This window comes from Homo sapiens, chromosome 4, assembly GCF_000001405.40.
Source record: "Homo sapiens chromosome 4, GRCh38.p14 Primary Assembly".
In the NCBI taxonomy this organism is placed as follows: Eukaryota; Metazoa; Chordata; class Mammalia; order Primates; family Hominidae; genus Homo; species Homo sapiens.
The window spans coordinates 37815132-37830388 of record NC_000004.12 but is presented as its reverse complement, the minus strand read 5'-3'; the positions used below and the strand labels follow the sequence as shown (position 1 = coordinate 37830388).

The 15257-nt window shown below is 44.6% G+C and overlaps 1 protein-coding gene and 1 pseudogene across 1 annotated transcript in view, besides 5 other annotated features; both read right to left on the bottom strand.

The window, feature by feature from the left end:
* PGM2 (phosphoglucomutase 2) overlaps positions 1–3703 on the bottom strand; it is a 36252-nt gene extending 32549 nt beyond the window's left edge. The window contains exons 1-2 of the mRNA NM_018290.4: positions 3576–3703; positions 258–425 (exon numbers count right to left, since the gene is read on the bottom strand). Coding sequence (NP_060760.2) covers positions 258–425; positions 3576–3656 — 249 coding nt within the window. The 5' untranslated portion in view covers positions 3657–3703. The remainder of the gene's footprint in view (positions 1–257; positions 426–3575) is intronic.
* Positions 3031–3530: an enhancer, noted in NCBI's record as "H3K27ac hESC enhancer chr4:37828481-37828980 (GRCh37/hg19 assembly coordinates)". NCBI's record gives its function as "activates a minimal SCP1, AML or CMV promoter by ChIP-STARR-seq in naive H9 embryonic stem cells {active_cell/tissue: H9 hESC(naive)}" and the evidence as "EXISTENCE:reporter gene assay evidence [ECO:0000049][PMID:30033119]".
* Positions 3521–3820: a silencer, noted in NCBI's record as "silent region_15350". NCBI's record gives its function as "represses an Ori minimal core promoter by ATAC-STARR-seq in GM12878 lymphoblastoid cells {active_cell/tissue: GM12878}" and the evidence as "EXISTENCE:reporter gene assay evidence [ECO:0000049][PMID:35858748]".
* Positions 3521–4032: a biological region, named in NCBI's record as "H3K27ac hESC enhancer GRCh37_chr4:37827979-37828480".
* Positions 3531–4032: an enhancer, noted in NCBI's record as "H3K27ac hESC enhancer chr4:37827979-37828480 (GRCh37/hg19 assembly coordinates)". NCBI's record gives its function as "activates a minimal SCP1, AML or CMV promoter by ChIP-STARR-seq in naive and primed H9 embryonic stem cells {active_cell/tissue: H9 hESC(naive and primed)}" and the evidence as "EXISTENCE:reporter gene assay evidence [ECO:0000049][PMID:30033119]".
* Positions 5065–5234: an enhancer, noted in NCBI's record as "experimental_79175 CRE fragment used in MPRA reporter constructs". NCBI's record gives its function as "activates a minimal promoter by MPRAs in K562 erythroleukemia cells, with activity observed for the non-introgressed 4:37826862 variant allele {active_cell/tissue: K562}" and the evidence as "EXISTENCE:reporter gene assay evidence [ECO:0000049][PMID:34662402]".
* Positions 8511–9068, bottom strand: RPL21P45 (ribosomal protein L21 pseudogene 45; annotated as a pseudogene).

Below are 15257 nucleotides of genomic sequence, written 5' to 3'. Positions count from 1 at the left end.
CCCCAGTGCTGGCACATGGTATGTACTCAATAAGTGTGTTAAATGAATGAATGAATGGATGGATGGCTATATGAGTCCTGAATAAGTGCTACTTCGACCTATTGTGCAAGCCTTACTTTATGGAGTAAATGGTGGTGACTTCCTGTGTCTAGCCAAGCTGGTAAGACATGTCTATAATTAGAATAAATTAGGTCTGCCAAATAGAAAATGAGCTAGGGGATACATTGAGTTACTAAGAATTATAAAAAACATGGTACCTGTGTAGTCTGGATGATGGTCAAGTCATTCATACGAGAAATTCCAGGTCCCATAGCAGCTCGGAGGCCAGCTGTCCCAAACTCCATTCGGGCCCCAAAACATTTTCGTAGTTCTTCTTTATTACCTTCTGCTATTAGTCGTTTCACTGCCTCCAAAGTTAAGGAATTCTGAAAAACAAAAATGTATAGACACAGCCAGACAAGTGAATGAAAAATCAGAAATGTAAAAAAATTCACAATCATTCTAATCTATAGAAAATATATATATATGTATATATATATATGTAGACCTTTCAATTTTCTGATGCTTTTGAAATCTGAAATATGAAGTCAGTTTGACATTATAATGTAAGTGTTCTTTTCTTTCCTGTCAAGGTAAGCACCTTTGGAGAAATCAAAGTAGAGATTTTAGCATATGAGTCTAACCCCCAGAATGGAATCCCAGAATACCACTTGCCAACTCTAGGTGCTTGCGCAGATTATTCCAGTTCTCAAATTCTGTTTCCCTATTTGCAAAATGGGAATAATCTAGAACCTCCCTTACACGATTTTTAAGGTTTTAAGGTGGTTTACTTCAAATTAATGTAAAATATCTTTCTCTACCTGGCATTTAGTTGTGATTAAATGTCCATTTTTTTCCCTAATGCCCTCAAATTTTCCAGAGTGATAGATTACACAACTTAAGTCAAAACCTTACTTTTGTAATGTTTTATAATTCATACCAGGCATTCACATACCTGGTCAAGTTTGAATATTGTAACATCTCCAAGAAGTAGACAAATAACAGAAACCCAATTTTATAGATGGGGAAGCCTCAGAGATTGGGTGACTTGCTTAAATTGCAAGATAAACATTAATCTAGTGCCTTTTCTATAACATTAACTGCTTCAAATAGACGCTAACATGATTCATTTAAGTTCATTATACATTGCCCTATTTTTTTTTTGTATGGTAGTTGCAGAAAATGTTATGGTTGGAGAAAAATAATGACAATCACATTAGTTTCATATGAGACTTTTAAGTTATGAATTCAGGAAAACAACAGAGGAAGGACTTTATATTCCTGTTTTACAGTCATTATCCATTTAGATGAGCACTCACGCAGGACGTGGCCATTTAATTAAACTTTGAAATACTACTGCAATAAAACCTTGGCTTTCTGGAATTAAGCCCACATTTCCAGATTGTGGCAGATTCAATGGGAATCAAGTAAACCCCATCTTTTTTGGTGAAAAACAGCAGATGCTAATTACAGAACACAGTCTTACCTATCAGATTGTCAGGTGCCCCAAAGAAAGGCTCAGATCAGGTACATAAAAGAGGCTCATAAAAGAGCCTCAATAAATATTAGTGGAGTGAATCAGAAAACATGGACTTCACTGCCACACTCAATATCGAGTGATCCTCCCTTGTTCATAGTGTAGGTCTGGAAAATCTTAATTGGTCTTTGATATCTATGAAAGACTAAGTAGCCTGAGAGAAACAAAGGAGACAGACAGGTAAGAATGACAAGTCAAGAGTACAGCAGGATCAGAATCAGCCCTGGCAGTGAGCAAAACTGACAGCAGAGAAAAGAGCAGGGATGAAGGCACGGTGGAAAGACAGAGGGCACCTGCCAGGGCGCCTTGCCAGTCGCCGGGGGTAGTCTGACTAGAGGGCTGCAATGCTTTTAGCTGGTGGGAGGTTCACTGGAGAATGAATGGGCTTCTTCTCAGGTGCCAGTCTCAAAGCAAAGAAGAAATTAACAGAGGATAGAACATGAGAAGTGATTAAAAAAAAAAAAGGACATCTCATCTCTACCCAGAGAAATACAATTTTTCTATACACAGATGCAACACTGTGTAGAAATTAGATTGTTTTCTTCTTCTTCTTAGAGAAAGTGCATTATGAACTCTGACTTCAAAAGAATTCTGTACTCTGCAAGCTACAAGTTATCAGAAATGGAAACATTTTTCTTCCCTTGTGAATCACAAGGTTATCTTCCCAGGAAAAGAAAAACGCCCCCAAGGAGTTGCCAATAGCATCCTGGAAATGGGATTTGCTGACATTTTATTTGTAGGGGCCAGAGAATGGTAAATAAAGACAAAGACCTGACCCCTACTGACCTTGTAATCTTCTTTGTTCATTCAAGTATTTCAGTGACCTACTATGTGTCATGCACTATGCCTATGCCAGGCACTACAAACCAAGGTAGTGAGAATAGAGAGGCCTGGCCACATAATTTATGGAGGTCCAGTGCACAATGAAAGTGGGTGACCTCTTGTTTTACCAGTAAGACTTTCAAGACAGGACAGCAGGACATTAAAACAACAGTGGGCCCTTCAAGGAGCGCGAGTCCTGTGAGACTGCAGGGGTCTCTCGCCCCTGAAGTCGGCCCTGGAGACAGACATTAAACAAACCTACAAACAAGTGTTTTTGGAGTTTTTTGTTTTTACCATTTGTAGTAAGAGCTATAAAGGAAAATAACAGACTGTTTAGAGTGAATATTAGGGATAAATAATTTAACGCTTCGGAGCCAAGGAAGGACTGACTCTCTACGTAAGCCACATTTAAGTTCAGGCACAAAATATGAGTCACAACGGGAGAAACAAGTTCAGCAGGAGAGCAGCGAGGGACATTCCGAGAAAACCTAACAGCAAGCAGAACAGGTCGAAAGGGCGAGACGCAAGTTTATAGAGAGGAGAGGGAGTGATGTCCAGAGCTGGGTTCCTGATTCTAAGAAACGGAATGAAGAGAGAGAAAACCGTGCTGTGTCCCAGGTGTGCCTCCCTGGCAGTCAAAGTTCTAAGGGGGACTCCTGAAGCCAGGCGGGCCCACCCGGGAGGACAACCCACGTTTGTAACCAAGCCCTCGGGATGGGAGGACCGGACCAGAACGCTGCTCTGCAAAGGTCTCAGCGGCCAAAGGAATACGCGGGACGGAGCGATTCTGGGTCCATGGGGATGCACAGCCGACTACCGACGACGAGCCAGCGGTCTGAGTGACAGTAAGGCGTGCGCCCCTCAACTAGACAGCGTCCAGGGTCTGGCCGCGCTTACACCACCCTGGCTCGCTCCTCTACTCCGAACTTGCAGTCCGGCCGGCCGGATGGCTGGTTTCGTCCGGGGACAAGCCTTCCCGGCCTAACTCTGAACGTGCCGCATGCCGGCCAGGTCGAAGGAAGCCTAGCAGCGGCCGTACGCTCCTGGGTCTTCCCGGGGGAGAAGCGGGATGCACTGGGCGGGAAGGCAGCTCAGGCAGAGCAAGCAGCGCCGCGCCTGGAGAGGGCAGAGCACCCGGCCCCGCTCCAGGCGCTCCCCGCCTGCTGGTGCCCCTCACCTTGTCCCAGCGCAGCCACTGGGCGGTCTCCTGGTCCAGCCGGGCGTCCTCGCCTAGACCGCTGCCTTCTGGAGCCGCCATCGCTGAGCTTGTGCTACCGCTGCAGAGGGAAGCAGGCGGTGAGATCTGCCTTCCGGCCCGGCCCCAAGACGTGGAGGCGGAGGCGGGGGCGGGGAGAGCCGCGGCGGAGCCAGTCGGTCCGGGGGAAAGTGACGCGCGCCGCGGCGGGCACGCCTCCTTGCCGTTTGCGGGTGCGCTGCAGGGGGTGGGAGTGAGCGAGGAGGAATTGCGGGGCTAGGGTGGGTTGCTGGAACCTGGCACGTGTGAGAAGGGTTTGCCATCGTCTCTGATGCATCCAGGCTACAGCCAGCCGTGAGTTCCTGCTGCGCGCCAGGCACATGTCAGATGCTGGGATACCAGGAAGTGCACCCAGATAGGGGCCTGAAGACTATGTAGAAACTCAGAGGGTCAAGAACAGCCAGAAAAAAATCTTGAAAAAGAAAAGCAAAGTAGGAAGACCAGTGGAACATAAGATAGAGACCAGAAACAAAAATACACGTGTATGGACAATTTATTTCAGAGGCGGGGCTGCAGAGCACAGGAAGGAACTATTTTTGGTTAATGGTGCTCGGTCAAAGGGATATCCACGTAGGGAAAAGAAAAAAGGGAACTTGGCCCCCTACCTCCCATCACACACAGCTCTGAACTCCAGATCAATTGTATCTCTAAGTGCGAAAGGTAGTGTAGCAGGAGGAGCCGCAGACAAAACTCCTCAGACACCGGATTAAAGAAGGAAGAGGTTTTTATTCGGCCGGGAGCGTCGGCAGACTCGCGTCTTAAGAGCCGAGCTCCCTGAAAAAGAAATTCCTAGCCATTTTAAGGGCTTACAACGCTAAGGGGTCTGTCTACGTGAAAGGGTCATGATAGATCAAGTAAGCGTGAGGAACGTGACTGGGGGCTACATACATCAGCTAACAGAACAAGAAGTTTTACAGTGCTTTCTCATACGATGTCTGGAATTTACGGATAACGCCAGTAGTTTTGGTCAGGGGTTAATATTATTATTATTATTTTAACCACCAGGGCCAGGTGGTGGCGCCAAGGTCGTCTAGCTATTTATCTTACTTCTGTTTTTTTCCAACTTTTTGCTTTCTCTCTTTTCTCCTGTCTTATAAACTAGGGAAAAGGGGAGGTGGGGGAGAAGCTGGGAAGGACAGCAGAAATGGTGGTCTCTTTCCATAGTAGCGTGAAACTTAGGGAAACTAACATAGGAGCACATCTTCCTGACGCTGGTATCACCAAGCCATAAAGAAGATGCATACCCATAAGCATAAAAAAGCACGGGCAAGAATATTTCTAGCAGCATTATTTGTAAAAGCCTCAAACTGGAAACAACCCAGATGACCATCGACAATACAATGGATAAATACTTGGTAGTATATCCATACCAATTCATATAAATAAATCATGGCACATTGATAGAGCAATGCAGGTGAACTACTGTTATACACAACATCATGAATGAATCTCACAAACACTGAGTGACAGAGTTCAAACACCCACCCCCATACCCCGTCACCCCAAAATACTGCATCATTCATCTGTAGTCCCAGCTATTTCGTGGTGGGGGAGCTGGAGGGAGTCCTGAGGAGGGAGGATCGCTTGAGCCTGGGAGGTCGAGGCTGCAGTGAGCCCTGATTGTGCCACTGTTCTCCAGCCTGGGAGACAGAGGGAGACCCTGAAAAAAAAAAAAAAAAAAACACTGAAATATATAAAATTATAGGTAAAGGAAACAAATCAGTGATTTTCAAGAGCTGGGGGTTGGGGGAGGGGTTGACTACCTAGGGCACAAGGGAATTTGAGGGAGTTGTGGAACTGTTCCGTATCTTGATTGAGTTTGGGGTTTACTTTTATCAAAACTTATAGAACTGTACGATATAAAGGGTAAAATTCACTGTATGTAAGTTATATCTCTTTTTTTTAAGTTTTAAGATTAAAAACTAAAAAGGAGGCAAAACTAACCTATGGATGTCAGCAGAGTGGTAGCTTTGGGAAGGAGGGAAAGTGCCTTCTGGGGTTCCGGGACTGTTCTGTTTCTTGACCTGGACGATGGTCAACAGGTGTGTTGACTTTGTAATATTCACTAAGCTGCAATCTTATGAGTTGTGCATTTTCCGTATGTTCTTCAACTTTATTTTATTATTATTTTTTGAGACACAGTGTCGCTCTGTCACCCAGGCTGGAGTGCAGTGGTGTGATCTCGGCTCACTGTAACCTCTGCCTCCTGGGTTCAAGAGATTCTCATGCCTCAGCCTCCTGAGTAGCTGGGATTACAGGGGCGTGCCACCATGCCCGGCTTATTTATTTATTTATTTATTTGAGACACAGTCTTGCTCTGTCACCCAGGCTGGAGTGCAATGGTGGGATCTCAGCTCACTGCAACCTCCATCTCCTGGGTTCAAGTGATTATCCTGCCTCAGCCTCCTGAGTAGCTGGGATTATATGTGTGAGCCACCAGGCCCAGACTTTTTTTTTTTTTTTTTGTATTTTTAGTAGAGAACGGATTTCGCCATGTTGGCCAGGCTGGTCATGAACTCCTGACCTCAAGTGATCTGCCCACTTCAGCCTCCCAAAGTGTTGGGATTACAGGGATGAGCCACCGCGCCCGGCTAGTGTGTTCTTCAATTTTAAAAAGAAAAAATATATATCCAGGATCTGTAATATCTGTTTAGTGTCATGGGAAAGGCATACTAATCATGTAATCACGGCAGTTAATACGTAATTACAAACTGATAAAATGCTGGAAGGAAAGCAGAGAGATGTCATGAGGCTGCAGGTTAACAGAGGCCACCTCAGTCAGGAAGCTTGCCTGAGCACTGGAAGCTTAAGAGAGATGTGAGGGAAGGATGTAGTTAATGTGAGAGTGTGGTCCTTCCCCTGACTGCAAAACCTGAGAGGCTGGAGCACAGAGAAGAAGAGAAGGACAGTCTGCCTCAGTTTCCCCAAATGTTAGGTGGTCTGCAGGTCCACCACACTCAGGCTATCTCTTTTCTCTGCACCAGATAAACCTTCTTCTCAGTCATGCTCTGGAAAAAATTGCAGGACATGGAGAATCACAGACCCAGGCAGATCTCACTCACCCTTGTTTTTATCTCAAATGCCAGTTTTCCCAGATGAGTCTGTGCAGCCTCCAGCCTTCTGCCAAGGTAGGACGGGAGCTGGTGGGTCTCTAAATATCCAGCAGTTCTGGGCCTCAGAGTTCACATCTGTCCTTCCGTGATAGGGATGGTTGCAGCTGAGTCTCTACTATGGTTCAAAACATGTGGGGAGTGGTGTCTAAGGAAGTTATTTTGGCACCTTTTTTTTTTCTTTGAGATGGAGTCTCATTCTGTTACCCAGGCTGGAATGCAATGGCGTGATCTTGGCTCACTGCGACCTCTGCCTCCTGGGTTCAAGTGATTCTCCTACCTCAGCCTCCTGAGTAGCTGGGACTACAGGTGTGTGCCACCACACCCAGCTAATTTTTGTATTTTTAGTAGAGACGGGGTTTCACTATGTTGGCCAGGCTGGTCTTGAACTCGTGACCTCATGATCTACCCACCTCGGCCCTCCAAAGTGCTGGTATTACAGGCGTGAGCCACCACACCTGGCCAGGCACCTTTTATTTTATTAGAAATTGTGGGCCCAAGATGATATCCAATCAGAAATATTTTAACTTCATTTGAGACACCAAGAAGCAGATTTTTCAATATTCCTTTATGGAAACAAGGAAATAAAGCAAGTGTAGTTTCCAAGTAGAGAGGAACTTTTAACTAGTAAGTTGCCAAATGTAAATAAATTCTCTTATCTTACTGAGAAGGGCACCAAGATTTTAATTACTGCGTTGAAAAACAATGCACGCAGTCACACTCTATTCCTTCCATCTGCTTCTCATGTGAAGCAGACGGTTATGTCAGGGACTTTTCTGGGGTTGCCTGTAGCAAAGATGCTGACATTGGAGGTTCTGACAGTGATGCTGCAGAGACCTGAGGTTGATAATTTCTTACATATGACCCCACCATTATCATTTTATGTCTGTGGAAACCCACATAGAATAGTAGATTGAAGAAGGGTTCTCAGGGAATAAGTCAGGCCTTCTTGTTTTGTAAACAAGGAAATGGAGACACTCGAAATTTAAGAGCCTTTCTCCAAGACATACGACTGGTTAATGACAGAGCCAGGATTGTCACTCTGGATCTCCTGATATCCCAGTCAAACGTTCAGTCCCTCTCCTGTTTCACTCAGCCCATTTCTACACATATCCATTTCAAAGGAAGTTCCATGAACTCTGGCAACCTGTTTCCATGTGATAATAGCCTGCTCTTGATGAAAAACAAATACTAACCATGTTTGATATCGATGATGTTAGGTGATGCTTAAAATAACTTAATTTGTTTGTTCATGCTCTCTTGCTGCCTAGGAACGCTTTCACATGAGTGTCCCAATTTCCTTGGAAGTCTTCCCAATGCCCTCAAATACCTTGTCAGCAATTCTGTCAGTCCTTTTGTATCCAGTCCAGAAAAAGTTCTTACAAAACTTTTTATTATGGAGTTTTAATTATTTACAAAATTGATCCTTATGTAACCACCACGCAGCTCAACAATGATCAATTCATGGCCAATCTTGTTTCATCCAGCCACTTCCCCTTCCTGTGTTAGTTGGAGGAAGATACCAGATATCATATCATTTCACTTATACATATTTTGGTATGTATCTCTGAAACATAAAAACATTTGAAAATAACCACAAAACCATTATCTCACCTAAAATTTTACAAATTAAAGTAGTAATTTTTAAATACCATCAAATGTCCCTTTAATGTTTAAATTTCCACATATCTATAATTTATATTAATTATACTTTTAACTTACATCTTTTTTTTTTTTTTTTTTTTACAGCCCAGAGGTCCTTTATTATTATTTTTTTTAAACACCTATTATGGCATGAATTCATAGGGAGTAGGTTCCAGCAGCTCAGGCTCCTTCCCATTGGTTCTCACAAAGTGTGCTTCTCTGGGTGGAGCAGGCTGGTGCTTTAGTTGAACCCAGGTACCTTTCTCTTTGGCTTCCTTCTTTTTCTGATCATTTTCCTTCATGCGTTTCAGGAAGCTATCTCGGCTCTTAGAGTGCTTAATGTGCTCAATACGCACGTTAATTCTCTTGGCAAGAATCTTGTCCTTGTTTGTTTACAACAATGCCAACAGCATGCTGGGTAACACTGTAGACTCCTCCAGTTTTGCCATGGTAACACTTGCGGGGCATTCCTTTTCGAACAGTACCCATTCCCTTGATGTCTACAATATCACCTTTCTTATAGATTTGCATATACGTGGCCAAAGGAACAACTCCATGTTTTCTAAAAGGCCTGGAGAACATATATCGGGTGCCTCTCCTCTTTCCCTTTGTGTTCGTCATTTTGGTGAATTACTGGAAGATGGCGGTTCTGGCAGAAAGGCTAAATCTTTTTTTTTTTTCTTTTTTTTTTTATTGATCATTCTTGGGTGTTTCTCGCAGAGGGGGATTTGGCAGGGTCATAGGACAATAGTGGAGGGAAGGTCAGCAGATAAACAAGTGAACAAAGGTCTCTGGTTTTCCTAGGCAGAGGACCCTGCGGCCTTCCGCAGTGTTTGTGTCCCTGGGTACTTGAGATTAGGGAGTGGTGATGACTCTTAACGAGCATGCTGCCTTCAAGCATCTGTTTAACAAAGCACATCTTGCACCGCCCTTAATCCATTTATCCCTGAGTGGACACAGCACATGTTTCAGAGAGCACAGGGTTGGGTTGGGGGTAAGGTCACAGATCAACAGGATCCCAAGGCAGAAGAATTTTTCTTAGTACAGAACAAAATGGAGTCTCCTATGTCTACTTCTTTCTACACAGACACAGCAACAATCTGATTTCTCTATCTTTTCCCCACATTTCCCCCTTTTCTATTCGACAAAACCGCCATCGTCATCATGGCCCGTTCTCAATGAGCTGTTGGGTACACCTCCCAGACGGGGTGGTGGCAGGGCAGAGGGGCTCCTCACTTCCCAGTAGGGGCGGCTGGGCAGAGGTGCCCCCACCTCCCGGACGGGGCGGCAGCTGGGCGGGGGCTGCCCCCCCGCCTCCCTCCCTCCCGGACGGGGCGGCTGGTCGGGGGGGGGGGGGGCTGCCCCCCACCTCCAGGACGGGGCGGCTGCCTGGCGGAGACCTCCTCACTTCCCGGGCGGGGGCGGCTGCTGGGCAGAGGGGCTCCTCACTTCTCAGATGGGGCGGCTGCCGGGCGGAGGGGCTCCTCACTTCTCAGACGGGGCGGCTGCCGGGCGGAGGGGCTCCTCACTTCTCAGGGTGGCGGGGCAGAGGCGCTCTCCACATCTCAGATGATGGGCAGCCGGGCAGAGACGCTGCTCACTTCCTAGACGGGATGGCGGCTGGGAAGAGGCGCTCCTCACTTCCCAGACTGGGCAGCCGGGCAGAGGGGCTCCTCACATCCCAGACAATGGGCGGCCAGGCAGAGATGCTCCTCACTTCCCAGACGGGGTGGCGGCCGGGCAGAGGCTGCAATCTCGGCACTTTGGGAGGCCAAGACAGGCGGCTGGGAGGTGGAGGTTGTAGCGAGTCGAGATCATGCCACTGCACTCCAGCCTGGGCACCATTGAGCACTGAGTGAAGGAGACTCTGTCTGCAATCCTGGCACCTCGGGAGGCCGAGGCTGGCAGATCACTCGCGGTTAGGAGCTGGAGACCAGCCCGGCCAACACAGCGAAACCCTGTCTCCACCAAAAAAATACGAAAACCAGTCAGGCGTGGTGGCACGCACCTGCAATCGCAGGCACTCGGCAGGCTGAGGCAGGAGAATCAGGCAGGGAGGTTGCAGTGAGCGGAGATGGCAGCAGTACAGTCCAGCTTCGGCTCGGCATCAGAGGGAGACCGTGGAAAGAGAGGGAGAGGGAGACTGTGGGGAGAGGGAGAGGGAGAGGGAGAGGGCCTAAATCTTAATTTTATAATTTTTTTGCAGTTTGCTTGAATCAGGCGCCAAATAATCTTCCCATGGCTTCATATGTCTTTGAGGTCTCTTTTATTTTACAGATTCTGCCTCAATTTCCTTGCAGTTGATTTGTTGAAGAAACTAGATTGTCTGTCCTATAGGGTTTCCCAGCCTGGATTTTGCTGATTGCATCTCTGGTGTTTTTTTTTTTTTTTTTTTTTTTTTTTTTTTTTGATAGAGAGTCTTGCTCTGTCACCCGAGCTGGAGTGCAGTGATGTGATCTCAGCTCACTGCAACCTCCGCCTCCCGGGTTCAAGCGATTCCCCTGCCTCAGCTTCCCGAGTAGCTGGGATTACAGGCACACACCACCATGCCCGGCTAATTTTTTTGTTTATTCTTTTAGTAGAGATGATGTTTCACCATGTTGGCCAGGCTGATCTCAAACTCCTGACCTCAAGTGATTCGCCCACTTCGGCCTTCCAAAGTGCTGGGATCACAGGTGTGAACCACCACACCTGGCCAATCTCTGGTGTTCTTTAGCATGTTCCACTCCCTTCTGCCTTTTCTGTAAGCTCATTTCATTATCATTTTCTGTTTATGGTCTCTCCCTCACTGAACTGACTTCCTGGAGGACAGAAATGGTATCTTATTTGTCTTCACCTACCTAGAGCCATGCTGTTCTCTGGGCTGATCCTCGAACATGTCAAGCAAGTGCTGGTCTAAGGCCTATATCTGCATTGCCCTCCCCCAGATATTCCCACATTTAATTCAGGCTTCTGCTCAAATACTAGCTCGTCAGAAAGATCTCTCTTCCGTAAAATGCTGGTAAATGTTTAAAATCTGGCTCCCTGGGATAAAAAGCCCTGACTTATAGTGTTTGCCAATTTCCATGGTGTAAATACATCCGTCATAGCCGATTTAAAGCTACAATGTGATATCACTGAACACAGAGTTGGGAAGACATTGGAGCAGCACACCATTATATAATATTTCCAGTACACAGGTATCATAGATGTAAATAACTTAAAGGGCATAGATCATGGTAATAGTCAGTAATCTACATAGAGGATGCTGAGTTTGAGTATTTATTACCTTTGTTTTTAATATAATATGTTGACTTTGAAGTTTATATAATTTAATTTTCAATAATGGCAGTATTAGATTGTTCTCACACTGCTGTAAAGAAATACCTGAGACTGGGTAATTTATGATGAAAAGTGGCTCACGTCCCGCAGGCTCTAAAGGAAGCATGATGCTAGCACCTGCTCAGCTTCTGAGGGGACCTCAGGAAACTTACAATGATGGAAGGTGAAGAGGGAGCCGGCACTTCACAAGGGCTGAGCAGGAGGAAGAGAGAGTGGGGAAGTGCCACACACTTTTAAACAACCAGATCTCCTGAGAACACACTCACTGTTGTGAGGACAGTACCAAGGGGGAAATCCACCCCCCTCACCATGATCCAATCACCTCCCACCAGGCCTCACCTTTAACATTGGGGATTACAATTTGACATGAGATTTGGGCGGGGACAAAGATCCAAACCCTATTAATATCTGTGTTTAACATCCTGCTCTCACAATTCCTAAAAATTGAAGAGTGTGCTGTCATGAATAAGGATGAACTGTCGCCAGTATACCATTGACTCTCTTGTTGACTGTACCTAAAATGGGATCTTCACCACTCTCGTCTCGTACTTTGTTTTTCTTCAAACTCCATCCCATGCTGTTAAAAATTTGATTTAAAAAATATTGACTGTCTTTTCTGCTGTTTTTTCCTAACTCAGCCTTCAGCACCTAGAACAGTGCTTGGTTTGTAATAGATGTTCAGTAAGTATTTGTTGAAGAATGAATCACTGGGTCCCTTATGCTCATAAAGAAAAAATAAACATAGAAAATAATAATAATATAAGACACGGGTATAAAACCTACCAAACCTTTTCTCTAAAACAAATGAACCTTTCTGAATTTATTGAAGAAAAATGTCTCATCACCATTATCTCAGTGTCCCAATTTCAAGGCTGATGAGAAAATGAGTAAATAATGTGCCAGTAGACTTTATCAGTGTACTCATTACTGGCCATAAACTCAAAGTACACCACCAACAAATCTTTTTTGGCAGACCATCTGGAGTTTAATGATCTTTCTCAGTAAAAATTTAAAATATCTATTATTTATGCCTATTTTCTTTTTCTTTTTCCTTTTTTTTTTTTTTTTTTTTTTGAGACGGAGTCTTGCTCTGTCACCCAGGCTGGAGTGCAGTGGTGTGATTTCGGCTTACTGCAGCCTCTGACTCCCGGGTTCCAGCGATTCTCCTGCCTCAGCCTCCATGGTAGCTGAGATTACAGGCACATGCCACCATGCCCGGCTAATTTTTGTATTTTTAGTAGAGGACAGGGTTTCACCATGTTGGCCAGGCTGGTCTCGAATTCCTGACCTCAGGTGATCCGCCCGCCTTGGCCTCCCAAAGCGCTGGGATTACAGGCATGAGCCACCGCGCCCGGCCTATTTATGCCTATTTTCATTCATGAAATTGTCTGATTTTTCTCTCATTACTAATTTTAATAATTCTTTGCACTTAAACTACCACTAGGCCTTCTAATACTAAAAGTTCGACACCAGAGCTGGTCTGTGATCCTTGGCTCCAATTTCCTCTGCTCTTTTTCCTCCTGCCAGTGCCCAGTTGTCCAGCACACCTCACCACCTGTCCCTAGATCTCAGGGCAGGAGTCATTCATTCTCATTAGGGGGTTGGCGTTCAGTTAAGCATCATTGTGTCCTTTTGCCTGCGGCATTTGGGTGATTAACCAGGTATGAAGTTGCTGGTGAGCTAGAGAAGCACTGTCACTGAATTGCCCTGTGCTTTAGTTTCTGCCTTGGTCAGAGAGATGCCCTGACCACATCCTCAGAATGTGTGAGGATAAAACTGTGTAAGAGATTTGTGTTTGAAAACTTCAGCACCCTCTAAAGTGCTAGTATACTCATTCCAGCTTGGGACTGAGCCTGACCCTTTTTTTTTTTTTTTTTTTTTTAAAAGAAGCACCTCTACAAAGAGTTAAATTTAAGAGACTTCGCAGGAAGGGAAAGTTGGATATTTGTTTTGTTTTGTTTTGTTTCCTGAGCACCACATAATTCCTGATGTTTCTGAAACATCACTGTTTTGAAAACTGAATATTTAGCCTGTTTGGGCAGCCACTGTGTAAACTGCTGTGCTCCAGATGAAGCTGCCTGATCCATTGTGTTGTTCTTTTTCATCAAAATTACCTTGATCTACCACCTTCTCACCTCTGTCGTTTCTAATTGCACCCGCATTCATATGGAATATGGTCTGTATTTCCTAAAGTGAACGATATTACATAGGAGACCTAGGTGTACTCTTAAAAGAAATACTGGCCTCAAATAAACTTATGTGTCAAAGATAACCCACAAGTCATAATTTAAGGTGGATCATACAGCCTTAAATTCTTAAAGGAACATTGTGTTTGATACGGTTTGTGTCTGTGTCCCTGCCCAAATCTCATGTCATATTGTAATCCCCTATGTTGGAGTTGAAGCCTGGTTGGAGGTGATTAGATCATGGGGTGGATTTCCCTTTGGTCCTATTCTCATTATAGTGAGTGAGTTATCACAAGATCTGATTGTTTAAAAGTGTGTAGCACCTCTCCTTTCTTCTTCCTGCTGTGGTCACATGAACACATGCCGCCTTCCTCTTCACCTTCCTCTTTACCTTCTGCCATGGTTGTAAGTTTCCTGTGGCCTCCCCAGACATGCTTTCTGTAGAGCCTGTGGAACTGTGAGCCAATTAAACCCCTTTTCTTCATAAATTAATTACTCGGTCTCAGGTATTTCTTTACAGCAGTGTGATAATGTACAAATACAGTGTTTAAGTCAAGAAAAAAGAATTTTAAACCTGTAGACTTTCCCATACTAACTGGTATTCAACTTCTTTCTAATCCCATTTTTTTCAATGATTTAAGTACTCAATATGTCTCTCTCTTTCTCTCTCTCTCTCTCTCTCTCTGTGTGCGTGTGTGTGTGTGGGGGCGGGGGGGGGTATGATGGTTTCAGATGACAGGCATCCTTCCTGTAAGAGGATTGTACATCCACCCTTTGTCCTTTGTAAGGGATAATCAGGGTTCTTAGCCCCCTCTTAATGTTAAGAAAACCAATTGTTTTTCAACAAACTTCAGACATGATGTACATAAAATAAGTTTAAAGTTTTTACCATTACAGTTTTCATATTTTGCCTTACAAAATGTTCTCTGACTAGCACAAAGATAAAGACCTGGAGAAAGCAGAAAATTCTCGAGTACCTGTCATTATCACATTCTAAAAAATAGTGTCATCATTTGACTTGATAAGATCTTATTAAAATGTAGTTTGACAAATATAATTTGCTGTAGACAGGCTCATTTTGAAATTAAAGGTTTAGGTGATTATATAGTTGGACATCTAAATAATTAAAGGTTTTCAATAAGTTTAGTCATTCCTGTATGTCAAATATCCTGTTCCATATCTTTGTGTCTTAATGCTCAGTTAACATTTTAATGTATGTGTCTTAGTCCATTCAGGCAGCTATAACAAAATATCATAAACTGGAGTAGCTTATAAACAACAAAAAATTTATTTCTCACAGTTCTGGAGGCTGGGAAGTCCAAAATCAAAGTGCCAGCTGATTC